Consider the following 16,757-nt stretch of genomic DNA (forward strand, 5'->3'; position numbering starts at 1 on the left):
CAGGTGATCCTCCTGCCTTAGCCTTTCAAAGTGCTGGGGATTACTGACATGAGTCACCACACCCAACCCCCTCATTTTCCTATATCGGTCTCAACTCTGAAGTGTTTCAACCTGGAGACCTAGGTAAATTTCATTCGTTATTTGAGATTTTCCTATGTCAGTAAAGGGCTCAGGTTGCCATATAAATATCATACACTGGGTGGCTTACACAATAGAAATTTATTTTCTTGAAGTTCTGGGGGGTGTAGTTTAAGACCCAGCAGTGTTCAATTTCTGGCGAGGGCTCTCTTCCTGGCTTGCAGATGGCCGCCTACTCACTGTGCCCTCACATGAACTTTCCTTGATGCACGTGTGCAGAGAGAGCTCTCTGGAGTCTCTTTTATAAGGGCACTAATCCCATTAGACCACCTTCATGACCTCATCTAACCTGAATTACCTACCCAAAGCCCTATCTCCTAATATGTTGGGAGTTAGAGCTTCATATGAATTTTGGATGGACACAAATATTCAGTCTGGACAGCACCCTACCATCCTTTTGGTCGCTGACACTAAAATCCTCTGTCCCCTTCATCTCTCCTGCCCAAATCAAACTCATCACAAGTTCTTCTCCATTTGTCAACTTTGACTCTAAACTAGGGCCGTAGGCTGGGTGCAGTGGCTCACACCTATAATCCTAGCACTTTGGGAGGCCGAGGTGGGTGGATTATCTGAGGTCAGGAGTTCAAGACCAGCCTGGCCAACATGGCAAAACCCCATCTCTACTAAAAATACAAAAATTAGCTGGACGTTGTGGCGAGTGCCTGTAATCCCAGCTATTCGGGAGGCTGAGGAAGGAGAATAGCTTGAACCTGGGAGGCAGAGGTTGCAGTGAGCCGAGACCATACCACTGCACTCCAGTCTGGGCAATAAGAGCGAAACTCCATCTCAACAAATAAATAAATTAAATAAAATAAAATAAACTAGGGCTGTAAGCTCCTAAGTGGTTTTCTGTTCCCCTTCTATCTTGCCCATCCTCCAAGGTGATTTCTGCCTCAGGGCCTTTGCACTGGCTACCTCTGTGTATTAGTCTGTTCTCATGTGGCTAATAAAGACATACCCGAGACTGGGTAATTTACAAAGGAAAGAGGTTTAATTGACTCACAGTTCCACATGGCTGGGGAGGCCTCACTGTCATGGCAGAAGGTGAATGAGGAGCAAAGTCATGTCTTACATGGTGGCAGGCAAGAGACAGAGCTTGTGCAGGGGAACTGCCATTTATAAAACCATCAGATCTCATGAGACTTATTCACTACCAGGAGAACAGTATGGGGGAAGCTGCCCCCATGATTCAGTTATCTTCACCTGGCCCCGCCCTTGACACATGGGATTCATTACAATTCAAGGTGAGATTTGGGTGGGCGCACAGCCAAACCATATCACTCTGCCTGGGACTTCCCCACCTCCCCAGTCTGCTGCCACCGTGTCAGTCTCAGTGAAAATGTTGTCCTCTCTGAAAGCCCTTTCTTGATCACTCTGTCAAAAGAACCCATCTTCCACCTTGACTCTTACATTCTTCTGTTTTCTTTTCCAGACATCTTGTGATAGGTTATCCCTTTACTTGTTTGTCTCTTTCAGGAAAAGAGAAGCTTTGTGAGAACAGGCCTTTGGCTTGTTCACTTCTGTGTTTGTAGTGCCCAACAACCCAGTGGTTGCTCAGTCAATGTTTATTGAAATGAATGAATGAAGTCAACAGAGATTTGTTGAGGCTTCCTGTGAACAGTCCTATGCCCAGTGTTAGAGGAGTCCCAGAAAAATATAAAAAGCCCCAGAGGCGGCAGTGAGAACACAGGTGTTCAGCCCTGCGTGTTAAACTTTAGTTAGAGAGAGAAAGCGGGAATGAAACCAGCACCCTCAAGACGACTCTAAATGGCCGGTAGCAATTGGCTGATACAAACAACCTGCATGAACAGAACTTGAGAGCCACTCCCCGCTGGCCATGGCAGGAGGCTTCTGGAAGAAAGGGGAATAGAACCGGATGTGGAAGGAGAGGCCTTCAGGATGGGGTAGGGGAGGAGAGAAAGGCAAGACACAGAGAGTGGAGGGCTGCAGAGGCTGGAAGATAGACCCAGGACCGTTTCCCTCCTTGGACATGTTCAGGACATTACTCTGGTCTTCCCCTGAGAGAGAACATGTTTTTCTCCACCCTGCATCATTGGTGCCTGGTACAGGGCCCTGCACAAAGTGCATGGTCAAGGAATTAAAGAATTCAGGTTGGATGAGGTAGTTCACAGCCTCCCTGGGGAGCTGGGGCTTTATCCTGTGGGCTGTGAGGGACACTGAAGTTCTGATAGACACAGTGGCTGGAGGGTTAGCATGGCTGGGCCTGAAAGCTAGGGAAGACTTAGAGGAGTCAGTTATCACCATCAGCCAGGCCTGAGAAGTGAGAAGGAGATGGATGAGGCAGGAAGAATCACTGAAAAGGACTCTGACAAAAAGAAGCAACGTATTTGGGAGCCAACTGAACATGGATATGGGCGGGAGTTGCAGATGTCTGAAAGGAGCCAGTGGGGGATATTAAGGAGAGAGTCTGGCCAGATGGGAGGCAGCAGGGAGTAGTGGGGATTGTGGCAAAGTGGGGTGCCAAGCCCCTTCCCTAGGACAGAGCCATGACTCAGCACCATGTGAGAATTTAGGCCAGAGACGCCAGATTTTCAAGTTTTACATGCAAGATCACCCATGTTCTCAATATTGGCAATTACTCCATATTACATAAAATAAATAACAAACACTTCACAGGCCAAAGAAGACACTTCCATGGGCCAGATATAGTCCTGGAGCTGCCAGTTTGAAACCAGAGAGTGTGTGTATGTTAGAGGGGTGGAGTCAGGGAAGGGAGAGAATGCCCAAGGTCACTGAGATTTCAAGCCCAGGCCACCAGGAAAGTGATATGTCCTTGCACTGGAATAGGGAAGTCGGGAGGAACCAGGGGCCGGGGAGGATGGGCAGGGAGTGGAAGATGCTGCAGCAATGGGGATGGTCATTTGACAAAAGAGGACACAGACTGAGAACAGCTCATCCCGAGCAAGCAGCTGGATCCCAAATGCAGTTGGTCACAGACTGAAGGGGGGGGCCTGTCCCTGTGGTTAATTGGTGATGGGCGTGCAGTGTCTCTCTGGGACCTTGTCTATGCTTCTCTTAAGCATTTGATTGTTTTAGATTTGGGGGATTTTTAAATTTGATTGATTGATTGATTGATTAAGATTGCATGATTTGCACCCTTGTATGAAGCAACTGTAAGAACACCGGTGTTAAACCTCAGAGAATGGGTTGCAGAATATTTCCCAGGTTATCAGTGGTCACCAACCCCATCCCCATCCCTAAAGAGGAAGCGAGATAAGCCCAGCGCTGTAGCATAACAACCGCGCATAGCATGCCTAACGTCACGCGAAGTCTTCTAACCCATACGCGCTGATGAATCCTGGCAACTCCGTTAGGGAGACACGACTTATCAAACCCTTTTCATGGCCCAGCTGAAATGACACACTGACGTTCACCCAGCCAGGAAGGAAGTAACACAGCTGGGAGTCGAACCTAGAACCAGAACCTTTGACCCTGGCTCAATAATGCCTGCCTTGCACAGGCATTTAGCACTTAGCTGAGTTGACCCATCAGGCCACATGAGGTCCTTGTGGCTGGAGACCTGTGTGGCCAGGCTGGAGTCTTGCTAGGTGAGCAGGGGTGGAAGAGGGATTCCCTGGGGCAGAGCCAGGAGACAGTCCTGGTGGAGGAGTAGAGCGGTCCCTTCGGTTGCCCATGGTGGCTCTTCCAAGCCTTAACTCCCTTCCTGGTCCTCCCACCCCACCTGTCTCTATATCCTTGAGCTCAGCCGATTCCTCAGAGTCCTCTTGGGTCCACACCCCAGGATGAGGACTCTGAGGCTTTAGTGAGCATCAGGATCACTTGGCTAATTAAAAGCAGATGCCGGGCCTTACCTCGCATTCTGATTCTGTAAGTCCTTCATCTGGCCCAAGAATCTGCATGTTTAGCAGACCGCAAGGTAGTGCTTCCGGGGTCTTCAGATAACGGCCGGGTCTCAAACTGCTGCTCCCTTTGCTTCCTGACCCCCATCTGCTGCTCACCTACCATCTCCTTTTATATACCTCATATACTCCAGTATCGTGAGTTAGTACTGGTGGTGTGCCCATTTTACAGATGAGGACATTGAGGCTCAGAAAGTTGAAGCAACTTGCCTAAAACCATCCAGACAGACCTGGATTTTTATCTCCACTGACTCTAACCACCTTGCTTTACTGCCTCTGCTAGATCTGCATTGGTCCCCTGGAGGTCCCTTAGCGGAGAGTTTAGGGGAAGGACTGAGAATGGTGCGATTTAGCAGTGTGTTCAATGGGCATGAAACCTGGTTGATGCCTTGGCAGCCGGAACTTTCCTTGTGTTATCTCCATGGGCTTTTAGCCCTCATATGAACGGCTGACATCATTAGTCAGAACAAACCACCCAGAATCGGTTCAACTTTCAAAGCTAAATGGAAATCAAAATGTGGAATGACTCAGGGACTGCTCGTTAGGAAAACTGATTCCTCTGTGACTCAGAGCAGATCTTGTAACCTCCAGGGGCTTGGCATCTGGACATGGGGCTTAAAAGAGAACAGACTGGGGAATCGCACCCCAACTGGGCAGCTGTGGCACCTGGACAGGTGATTAAAATTAGCACTTCTACCTGTGACCCAGCAATTGCACTTCTGGGTATTTATAGAGAGAAAGGCAAACAGCTGCCTTTTTCACACAGGCTGGTACACAGAGGTTCAGAGCAGCATTATGCCTGACATTATGCATTTCCTCTAGTGGAGGAAACATCCCAGCTGTCCCTCAGCAGGCCAACAGCTAAACAAACTGATACAGTCACACAGCTGATGGCTACTCAGCAAGTTAAAGGAAGGAAAGGAAACGGGATACAGGCCACACCATGGGTGAGCAAAGGAAGGCAAACAGAAGAGCACTTTCTGGGTGATTCCACTTCCCTAAACTTTTGGCCGGTGCAATAGCTCCTGCCTGTAATCCCATCACTTTGAGAGGCCGAGGTGGGAGGATCACTTGAGCCCAGGAGTGCAAGACCAGCCTGGGCAACATGGCAAAACCCTGTCTCTACAAAAAATATAAAAATTAGCGGGCGTGGTGGCGCATGCCTGTAACCTCAGCTACTTGGGAGGCTGAAACGGGAAGGATGGCTTGAGCCCAGGAGTTGAAGCTGCAGTGAGCCAAGATCATGCCATTGTACTCCAGCCTGGGTGACAGAGCACGACCTTGTCTCAAAAAGCAACACAAACAAATGCAAAACCTTCTAATATAAGCAAAACTAACCGCTGTTAAAATAAGGCAGAAAGGTAGACTGAAAGAAGGTATGCACATATGAGGGAACTTTCTGGGATCATGGAAATGTCTTCTCTCTGGGCAATGGTTACATGGATATATACAGTTCTCAAAAGTGCATCTAAGTGTACACTAAGATCTGTGCATTTTACTATATATAAACTGCATCTTAAGTAAATAAATAAGTAAAGGGCAGATGCCTCCGCCCCAGCCCTGGCAACTGAGTCAGCAGACCTAGGGTGTGGCCCACGAGCATCTCCATGCTCAGCAAGTGCTGAGTGTTGATGCCCAGCCTGCGGTGGGCACCACCAGACACTAATTGCTAAAGTCTCTTCTGGCTTTAGCAGGATGGCTGAGTCTTTGCAGTTGTTGAGCATTTACCATTAGTCTGTTTTTAAGCATAAACCTAATTGCGGTCAAAGTCTGGTCCCAGGGCTGTCTCCTGATCGTCAGCAAGACCAGCTCTAAGCTATGGACAAAGGCTCCTCAGTCACCAGGCAGATCCTGGCCATGTGCCGGGCATCACAGGGCCCGCTGTGCTGGGAACAGAGGCCAGCACTCACTTGCAGGGCTGCAGACACACATCAGGTATTGGGCGTCGGGCAGAACCAGACAGGCACTCTCTGATCAGTTTCTGCCTCCCTGGAAGCCCTCCAGATAATGATTTTGGCTGTGTGCTGAGGAGCTTTTGTGTTATAGACACTATGCTGATTGTTTTGGGGGCATGTTTAATTATATGAGCGGATGCATTGTGTAGTTCTTAGAGGCTGGAGCTAAGAGCCCCCACTTCTCCATGATTGCCTATGTTTCTCTGTATAAGTGACCTAACCTCTCTGAGGCTCAGCTCCTCTTCTGTAAAACGAAGACAGTGGCCGTACTTCTTCCCTCACAGAGCCTTTAGCACGGGGAGCATTTAGCAAATGCTGGCTATTATTATCTAATTTAATCCTTATAATAACCCTATAGGCAAGGTGCTATTCTTATCTGCAGAGCAAAAACCAAGGCTCAGAAAGGTCAAGTCCCTCGCCCAAGGTCATATAGCTAGAAAATGGAGGAGCTGGGATTGAAACTTGGGTCTGCTCAACTCCTGCCTCTGTTCACTGCACCATGCTGTCATCAGCTTTGTGGGATGGGGATCAATGCAGAAGACCCCCTGCAGACTGGACGGAGAATCCATCGCTGGCTGAGTGAGAGCCTGTCCTTCCGGAAGGCTGTGTGCACTGGTTCCAAGAGTGATTTCACATCCCTCTTCTACCAGCTGTGGGACCTTGGACAAGTTACTTAATGCCTCAAGCCTCAGTTTCTTCATCTTTAAAATGGGAGTGCTAATACCAGCCTTAACAAGCTACAGTGAGGATGGAATGAGTCAATAGATGTAAGGCATATAGAACGGCACCCTGAACACTGTAAACCTTTTGTACTTGTCTGCTGATATTTGCTGTCATCTGCGAGGTCACTCACCTGTCTAGGTTTGTAACTGAGCTGGGTGGGGCTCCAGGTTGCAGTAGGATGGGAAGTTGTCCTTCATGCCTTTGAGGAAGTGACAGGATAGCCTCCAGGTGGCATGTGGCAACAGGTGTAGCAAAAAGCCTTTTTGAACTACATCCAGGGACTCTTAAGCGCTCAAATTAAACCGTCTTTTGGATTCTCTCATTTTTAAAAACTCAAAGCCTCGTTCCCAGGCTTCGGTTCCTAACCATCTTTCTTTACTCCCTTGCAAGAGATTCGGGCTGATGGTTACCGTCATGTCTAAGTAAACGATGAGCTTCCCACCCCACAGCCCTGGCTCTCAGGTCATGGCAGCAGGTTCTCGACCAGACGGGGCTCAAGGTGAACAAACAACCTTTCTGTTTATTTATTTTGTATGCTTGCTTTAGTGTTTTGCCTGTGTTGTGGGAACCACAGCATGGGTTTCTCAAGCTGCTCTGTTTTCTTTGGGTTGAAAACAAAAATAAAAGGTGAACCATCAAACCGTGACGTCTGGCTGCCTGCATGAAACTCCACGAGGGCTGGTTTATAAATTTAAAATGTGTGACTGTCCGGGAGTGGTGTCTCACGCCTGTTAATCCCAGCACTTTGGGAGGCCAAAGTGGGTGGATTATCTGAGGCCAGGAGTTCAAGACCAGCCTGACCCATATGGCAAAACCTTGTCTCTACTAAAAATACAAAAATTAGCTGGGCGTGGTGGTGTGCACCTGTAATCCCAGCTACTCGGGAGGCTGAGGCAGGAGAATCGCTTGAACCCAGGAGGTGGAGGTTGCAGTTAGCCGAGATTGCGCCATTGCACTCCAACCTGGGCAACAAAAGCAAAACTCCATCTCAAATAAATAAATAAATAAATAAATAAATAAATAAATAAATAAATAACTGCACTAGGCTGAAAGCAGAATGGCAGTACATAATAAGAGCATCCCTTCTGGAGTCAAATCCCTGCTCTCTTCTTGGCTGCATGACCTTGAGAATGTGTCACTCTTCCTCTGTGAGCCTCAGTCTCCTCATCTGTAAAATGGACATAGCCATGGCGCCTGCCCAATCGGACTGTCGTAAGATCAAGCAGGCAAGCTTTTGGCACAGCGTCAGCAAGCCTCAGCTTATGTGATCATCAGTATACCAGGACCACTCCGAGTTGAGCTGTTCAAGCTCTGGGTCTCTCGCCAACTGGCAGTGTGACCTTGAGCAAATAATTCACCTCTCTGAGCTTCAGGTTCTTCATTTGCAAAATTGAGGCCCCATGTTCTATCTAAATGGATTGTCCTGCATATTAAATTCTGGAAATAAGTACCTTAGGCAGTTGGGAGCAAGAAAGAGGACAGGCAAGAAGGGCCATAGAAGGAAAGTACTGGATCCCCAAAGCTAAAAGATTATTTACCTGGTGGCTGTGAGGAGGGAAGGCCAGCCTGACAGAGGACACAGAAATATCCACTGTTTCTTCTTTTGGGGGGCACAGAATCTCACTCTGTCACCCAGGCTGGAGTGCAGTGGCGTGATCTCATCCCACTGCAACCTCTGCCTCCTGGGCTCAACTGATTCTCCTACCACAGCCTCCATAGTAACTGGGATTGCAGGCACCTGCCACCACACCCAGCTAATTTTTGTGTTTTTAGTAGAGATGGAGTTTCACCATGTTGGCCAGGCTGGTCTCAAACTCCTGACCTCAAGTGATCCTCCCGCCTCAACCTTCCAAAGTACTAGGATAACAGATGTGAGCCACCACGCCCAGCCAATGGCTTCTAAATTTGAGTAGCCCCAGCATCTTCCCTGTTGGACTTGTTTTATGTCTGCTGGTAGAATCAACACTCTTTGGGAACATATGGATCTATGGACTTTGCTTAAACAGATTCTGAATCCAAGATGTCATTTACCAAAAAAGCACACAAGGGATAAATATCCCCCAACAGCAGAATTCTTTATTTTATAGAAGCATTCACTAGGAAATTCCTTTCAATGTTATGCATCCGTCATGTGCGTAATATGCTACTTGATTTACAAATAAGGCAGTATCGTGCAGAGGTAAAAGGTACAGTGATGGGAGCAAGATCACTCCCCACCTAGCCCCAGGTACCCCGATTCTGCCGATTACCAGCTGCAAAACTTTATGTCCCTTTGCCTCCATTTCCTCATTTGTAAAAGGGAGATTATCGTACATGGTATCTATCTCGCCTATAGGTTGCATGAAGAATAAACAAGATAACTATAGATTGCATGAAGATAATTCTTGTAAAGAAAACTTACTACCACATAGTAAAGGCACAATATATGTAGCTAGTATTCCTTCCAATACTATTTTCTGAGTGCCTTCTGTGTGTTTGGTGCCATCTGCCCTGTGTCTGCCTTCATAGAGCTTACACCAGGGATGTGGGCTATGGACATAGAAACAGGCAAGGCAACAAATAACATAAATAAACAAGATGATTACATGTTGTGGTCATAGCTATGTCCAAAACCAGCAAGATGCTGAGACAGAGAACTGCATGGACAACTACTTGCAAATGTCCGGTTTGGAAAGCCTCACTGTGGAGGTCACATTTAAGTGACAGATGAGAAGAAGCCAGCGAGAAGGACAGTGGGGCCGCAGCCGCTCATTTCAAACATGAAGGTGCACGTGCCTCCTGCAAGATCCAACTCAGCAGGTCCGGGGTGGCCCTGAGTGTCTGCATTTCTTTCTTTCCTTCTTTCCTTTCCTTCTTCTTTCCTTCCTTCCTTCCGCCTTTCTTTTTTTTGACGGAGTCTCACTTTGTCACCAGGCTGGAGTGCAGTGGCACGATCTCAGTTCACTGCAACTCTGCCTCCCAGGTTCAAGTGATTCTCCTGCACAGCCTCCCGAGTCAGGCGTGCGCCACCACACCAGGATAATATTTGTATTTTTAGTAGAGACGGGGTTTCACCATGTTGGCCAGGATGATCTTGATCTCTTGACCTCGTGATCCGCCCACCTCGGCCTCCCAAAATTCTGGGATTACAGGTGTGAACCACCACGCCTGGCCTTGCCTTTCTCACCAGCTCTCAGGGCTGTTGACACTGCAGGACCACACTGTGAGTGGCCAGGGACTAGCAGAGGACAGGGGGCAGAGGGTGGATCCAGGTCCAGACGACAGAGTACCTTGAAGGCAAGTGGGGAGTTTGGATTTTATTCTCAGGATAGTAGGAAGCCAGGCAGAGGAGTGACATGACTGAAGGATGCTTCTAGAAGCTCATTTTGGCTGCTGCGTAAAGACTTGCTAGGGCCAGGGCAGCTGCAGAGAGACCAGGTTGGAAACTGATATCGTTGTCCAGGTGACAGTGGCTTAGACAAAGGTGGTAGTGATGGCAGAAGCAGGAAGTAGGTGGATTTGAAACCTTTGGACAGGTAAAATCAACCACACTTGCTGAGGTGTTAAATAAAGCCATCCATCATCATATAAGATATGTGCTTATCTTAATTTTTTAAAACTCAATAGTATAGAGTATAGAGCTCTCAAGCAGGGGTGATCTTGCCCTCGCGTGGGACATTTGGCAATGTCTAGAGACATTTTTGGTTGCCCCCAGCTGGGGAGATGCTATTGGTATCTAGTAGGTAGAGACCAGAGATGCTGTTATACAACCGACATTGCACAGCACAGCACTCCCAACAAAGAATTATCTGCCAGTATGTCAGTGGAGCCAGGGGAAAGAAACCTTGCATAGAAGTACAGGAAGGCAGAAATGTCCTGCCTGCCCCACCCCCATCTGACCCCCACACCCCAAAGATAACTACTGTTCCCAGTGTGCTTGATGGTCCAGACTTTGTTCTGTGCGTATACGCAGATTTCCCATAAGCCACCTCACCGGTGAAGTAATGCTTGGGAAATGCTCAAAACTTAGGAGCCCTGAGCCCACCATAGGAAAAGACTGTTCATTTTGTCAAATCTGTTCTATTCCTACCCCATGGGGAAGGTTACTGCCACATTGCCCAAAACTGTATTCATTCTATCAGTTGTGATATTTTTTCTTTTTCTCCAAAGAACTTTCCAAAAATTGCTATCCTTGTGACCTAGGCAGCCTTCTCTAACTGGGACTAACTCATGAAACCTGAGAATTTCAGTGCAGGAAGAAATGTTGGGATAATATAGTCCTACCCAAGTTCTTACTGTACAGGTGGGAAAACTGAGGCCCAATACTTCTTGGAAGTGGGGAAATCCCCTTATAATAAGTAGTCTCTTCTTCATTTACTGGGATATTAATTTCAGATTTTCAGTTTAATACACGGTTATGGCTTATGTTTCTGATTTATTTTTCTTGGTCGTGTCTATATGTGAGGTTGGTTACAATGGGTGACGAAAGGGACATTCTTAGCCTTGTACTTCCAGAGTGCTGTGACAGGTGATCTCCAAAAGATGGGAGGAATTTTACCAGTCTGTGAACTTGAATTCTGTAGTCTGGGAAGACCAGTTGAATCTCTTTTCACTGGCTGAACTGAGTGTCATCTTCCTATGCCCATCTGTGGGTACCACAGCTGTGCAGAGGTCAGTTTTGAGTTCAGGCTCATACGTGGAATGCTGTAGCCTGTGGCCATCCTCCTATTATCCATGCTGTCATCCTTTTAAACGTCCACAGAGACCTCCAAGTGGAAAGAACCATGTCTACCCCATTAGAACCCCAAGCAAGGACTCTGCAGGTCAGAGAGGCTGACTCCATGGCAGCAATGAGGGCTCCAACAGCTGGAATCCAGTCCTGTCCTCCAGCTACCTGTGTCCTGAGCCCAAGGGAGGGACCCTGCCCCCTCCTCCCACTCAGCCAGTAGAGAGAGGCGGGAGCCTCTTGAGAGGCTTAGGAAGGCACCCTGGGAAGCCTCCCTACTTGTTTTCCCAAACCCCTCAGGTTGGGGGTAAATGGCGTGAAGGAGTCTGGTCTTTGATTCTTTGGCACTGGGGAGCCACTGAAAGTTCTTGAGCAGGAAGTAACTGGATAGAAAATGGCTATTCCAGGAGGATCAAAATGGCAGCAGTGTGCTGGGTGAATTGGATGGACAGGAAAGACGGGGAAGGAAGCCTGGTGGGTACAGTGAGGAATAACAGTCTACCCCAGAATGGCAGCAGTGAAAACAGAAAAGGGGGAAGAGATGGGCATTTGTGACTAATGGATGTTTGTGACTTGCCCCTGAATGAGGGAGAGCGGGGGGTCATGGATGACCTTGGTTTTGACCCTAGATGAGGAAAATAGTGACTCTGCCGATAGGGGAAATGGGCAAAGTTTACTTAGCCTCTCCCAGCTTCACTTAAGACATCTGTAGAATGGGGTTGTGTATTGAGTGGTGGGGAAGATTAAATGAAATTGTGCATGGAAATTAACCCAGGCCTGAGGGGAGTGGCAGGCACTAGGACCACGAAGAGCCTTATGAGCAGGGCTTTATCCTGCTAGGCCATAGGGAGCCATGAAGGGATGTTGCCTGAGGGTGGGATGGTCACATTTGCCTTTTGGAAGGACCTCTCTGAGAGCAGTGGAGAGAGGGCAGGCCAGGGGGCAGGGAGACCACAGGGGAGGCCTTTGCAGTCTGTATCCAGGTGAGGTGTGGGGTTGGTCCAGACCAAGCAGAAAGTAGGGGGCAGTCCTGAAGCAGGCCGGCTGCCTTGTGTGCCTCCTCCCCTTTGTGCTTGGGGAAACCACTGGGAGGAATGCGAGGTGGCCAGCATGTGTCCCGGCAACCCCACTGTCGGGGGGTATGTGTGACTGATGGGCCATCTCTACACAAAACCTGCACTGGGCCGGGCCCTCCAGCAGCTGCAGGACATCAGAGGCTGAGCTGTTTGACCAGAGAGGCCACAGCTATCCAGTGGGAGTGTGCGGCCCCAGGCAGAGTCACCCTCCTTCCAACACAGCACCCCCATCCCCCAACCCCCATCCACCCCTCCCCGAGTCAGATCCCCATCCCCCACTGACTCCTTGGGGACTGGATCTTAATTCGCCCTGTTGCCACCACTCTGCCCTCATCTCTTCCTCCCCTGCGCTTCCACAGGTCCCCTGCACTTCTGCTCGCTTTTCCCTCATCTGTGCTGTCCATGCCTCTCTGTTCCTTCCTGCCCCTGGCCCCTAGCATGTGGTCTCACTGCGGCTTCTTCTCTCTTTGCCCATCTTGGGCATGCAGGAGGCTGAGGGCAGAGGGTGGTGATGCCTGTAGGTCCTAGTACCATGCCCGGCCCATGGGGGCAGATGGAGCCCCAGGGGCTGTCTGCCTGCTCTGTCAATCCATCTCTGCTTCCTTTCTTTTCTCCTGTATCTGTTTGCTGGATGTAGATCATAACCTTGACAATAACGTTTTCAAGGGCAGGCCTGGTTCTTCCACCCTCTATTTCCTGCTAACAGCCCAGAGGCATTCCCACCACGGTGATTTATGACCCTCTCTATGGGGTGGCGTCTTCTAGGGCAGTGGCCTAGGAGACATTTTCCAACTTGCAGCCCCGGGACTCTGTCCTTCTTCCCTCACTGCTGGGGCCACAGCCCTCTCTCAGTGAGTGACCTTAGCAGCCATCCTCAAAACACCCCGGCCAAGGAAAGAGCTCTGATAAAACCCTCAGAGCCTGACTCTCAGCCCCCATTCCTGAGCCCCCACTTTGCAGCTGCCAGCGACCTGACTGTGCAAGCTGAGAGGATGCATGGGCACAGGTGGCATTAGCTGCTCGCGCTGTTGGCACCAAGCTGGCCTCAGAAAAGGGGGGGTAGGTTTTGTTTTACTGTTTTGGTCACTTATTTCATTTAAAAAAATTTATTAGATGAGAGTGTTTTTGGCTCATACAACGGAAACATTGCTAGGTCCAGCTGGATTTCTGGGTCCAGTGGTACCCTCTGGAGTTTCTCTGAATCTCCACCTCGGCTCGCGTTAGCTCCCTGCTGGTCCCCTCCTCAGGCAGCCTCTCCCCTTGTGATGACAAGACGGCCACCAGCAGCTGCAGGCTGCATCCTGTCCTTCCTGCAAACCCAGAGGGACAGGGAAGTCTCAGTGTTTCCCCCAAAGCAAAGAACTGAGCCTCACTGGTGCTGACTGGGCCACAGCCCCACCCCCTGGGACACAGAAGAACTGATTGGCTAGGCCTGACCATGCCCAGCCTTAGAACCTGCAAGGAAGAGGCCCTGCCTGGTAGGCAAGCACATGACATGGCCACCACATCACCTGAGTGCTCAGCAAGGTAACCCAGGGCAGCCCAGCTCACCCAGCCCAGCATGGCCATACCCCAGGGCCCCCAAAGACCCTTGTTGGGAATCACTTGTGCAACAGGCTTGGATAGCTTTACACTCCAGAAAGACAGTAGCATTCTACTTGAAGGGTCTCTGCAGTGACTTCTTTTCTGATAACAAGAAGCATTCCTCAGTTTACCTGTTTGGGACATTCCTATTTGGTGTTAGGCTTTTGTAAAGAGAGGGCGTACCTGTGGGGGACCTGGCACTGGGTCATTTCCCCAAGATGCCATTGCCGTGTCCCCCAGCACCTGGGTGACTGCTACATCACTGCCTGTGACCTCAACTCTCTTCCTTCCTCTTACAGCAGGGATGAGATCACAGCCAGGAAGTGTTGGGATGATTCCATTACAAAGATGATGTTTGTTGAATGGATGTCTGGAGAGAGACAGCAGCCAGAGGTCAGCAGCTTTGCTCCTGCCTCTCCAGGGTCCACCCTTACTGGGCAGTACCATCCAACCATCCATGCCCAGCTCATAGAGGGCACTCAGGAAATAGCAGCTGATATTTGGTCATTATATATTTTTTTGGAGACAGAATCTCGCTGTGTTGCCCAGGCGGGAATACAGTGGTGTGGTCTAGGCTCACTGCAACCTCCACCTCCCAGGTTAAGGGATTCTCCCACCTCAGCCTCCCGAGCAACTGGGATTACACGCACCCTTCACCACACCCAGCTAATTTTTCCTTTTTTTTTTTTTTTTTTTTTTAGTAGAGACAGGGTTTCACCATGTTAGCCAGGCTAGTCTCAAACTCCTGACCTCAGGTGATCCACCTGCCTCGGCCTCCCAAAGTGCTGGGATTACAGGCGTGAGCTACCTCGCCCAGCCATTGTCATTACTATTGTTATTGTGCTGGTTGTTCAGCCTGGAAGTTTCTCCAGGCTCAGGAAGCAGTCTTGACCCTTGCTGGCCTTCACCTCTCTGGCTGCCTCCATTCCATGCCTAAACATTTGGAGTTACAATTCCTTAGCTCATCTTTTGGATCTAAACACCCCAGAGGGTAGAGATGATGCTGGCATAGCTCCTGGCCTGAGGGAACACTCACTGATCTACCAGAGGCTGGGACACCCACCGTGGGGCTTGCAGGAGGATGATCTGGTTTTGAATCTGCACAGTGCTGGTTATGAGCCTGTGATCTCCACTCCCTTCCCTCCTCTTACAGCAGGGACAAGACAGCAGCCAGGGAGTGTTGGGATGATTCCATTTACAAAGATGACATGCAAAATGTCCAGCTCAGTGGCTGGTACCGGGGCAGGGCTCTAGGCCTGTGGGTTGTGATTCATCTGTGAAGCCCAGAGAGGGCAAAGTTCCTGGACATAAGGCCTCAGGCAGCCCCGTGAGCCCTGGATAGCAGGGGCTAACCCAAGGTGGCAGAGAGGCCCTTTCGGCATTCAGCCTTGACCCCTGTCTTCCAAGGCAGGTTGCTTAAGACATTGGTATTTGTCTTTGCTACTGACGGCCTGGGACAACCCCTCATCCCCTTCCCTCTCTCTGTCATTAGCAAACCTCTGCTTCTGACCTTAGATAAAGGAGTGCTTTGTTCATGGAACTGGTGTGTAGATTAAAAACTCCTTCTTTTAGAGCAGGGCTTGGGGGCAGGTGAGAGACGGGATTTTAGAGGGGTTCAGAGGATGGACTCTGGACTCACTATCTGTCTCACAGCCGTGCTCTGCTACTTATTAACATGAGGCTTTGGGCAGGTTAAGGAACCTCTCTGGGCTCGAGTGTTTGTGACTCTAGCATGGGATTGGCAGTGGTGGCTGCTTCGTGATGACATGAGGTCATCTGGGCTCAGAGGAAGCATTCAGTGCATGTGAACTCTTCTAAGCACAATGTGAAGATGCATCTTTTAAAAATGAAACGCCCTCTGATAAAATGTGTACTCCTCCCAATTTGGAACCTGACACACATTGTCTAGATCCACCTGAAGCTGCAAGAGCCCTGCTGCCAGATACCAGGGCAGGAAATCTTATCCTGGGGGACACTCCAGGAAAAGCCAGTGAATTCCCTTTAAATTATACAGGATTGTGCCTGTGGCCCTTGTGGTAGGCTAAATAATGCTCCCCTACCCTACCCCCAAAAGATCTACATCCTAATCTTAGAATCTGTGACTATTTACGTTACATGGTAAAAGGGCCTTTGCAGGTGTGATTAAGTTAGGGCTCTTGAGACAGGAACATGATCCCAGGTTATCCAAGTGAGCATGATGTAGTCCCAAGAGTTTTTTTGTTTTGTTTTTGGTTTTTGGTTTTTTGTTTTGTTTTTGTTTTTGTTTTTTGAGACAGAGTCTCACTCTGTCGCCCAAGCTGGAGTGCAGTGGCCCTATTTCGGTTCACTGCGACCTCCACCTCCCGGGTTCAAGCAATTCTCCTGCCTCAGCCTCCCCAGAAGATGGAATTATAGGCACGTGCCACCACACCCGGCTAATTTTTTGTATTTTTAGTAGAGATGGGGTTTCACCGTGCTAGCCAGGATGGTCTTGATCTCCTGACCTGGTGATCTGCCAGCCTTGGCCTCCCAAAGTGCTGGGATTACAGGCGTGAGCCACTGCTCCCGGCCCCACAAGAGTTCTTATAAGGAGGAGGCAGGCAGGCCGGAGTCAGAGAAGGAGGTGTGGTGACCAAAGCAGAAGCTGGATGCATATGCTTTGAAGGTGGAAGAAGGTTCCAGCAGCCAACAAGGGCAGGTGGCCTCTAGAAGCTGG

The 16,757-nt window shown here is 49.4% G+C and overlaps 1 protein-coding gene across 8 annotated transcripts in view, besides 2 other annotated features; it reads left to right on the forward strand.

Moving 5' to 3' along the window:
* Window positions 1–16,757, forward strand: part of TMEM51 (transmembrane protein 51) — a 67,913-nt gene that overhangs the window by 21,909 nt on the left and 29,247 nt on the right. The gene's annotated exons all lie outside the window — the stretch shown is intronic.
* Window positions 12,563–13,134: an enhancer, noted in NCBI's record as "H3K27ac-H3K4me1 hESC enhancer chr1:15513533-15514104 (GRCh37/hg19 assembly coordinates)". NCBI's record gives its function as "activates a minimal SCP1, AML or CMV promoter by ChIP-STARR-seq in naive H9 embryonic stem cells {active_cell/tissue: H9 hESC(naive)}" and the evidence as "EXISTENCE:reporter gene assay evidence [ECO:0000049][PMID:30033119]".
* Window positions 13,135–13,707: an enhancer, noted in NCBI's record as "H3K27ac-H3K4me1 hESC enhancer chr1:15514105-15514677 (GRCh37/hg19 assembly coordinates)". NCBI's record gives its function as "activates a minimal SCP1, AML or CMV promoter by ChIP-STARR-seq in naive H9 embryonic stem cells {active_cell/tissue: H9 hESC(naive)}" and the evidence as "EXISTENCE:reporter gene assay evidence [ECO:0000049][PMID:30033119]".

The sequence above is a fragment of the Homo sapiens genome, chromosome 1, assembly GCF_000001405.40.
Source record: "Homo sapiens chromosome 1, GRCh38.p14 Primary Assembly".
In the NCBI taxonomy this organism is placed as follows: Eukaryota; Metazoa; Chordata; class Mammalia; order Primates; family Hominidae; genus Homo; species Homo sapiens.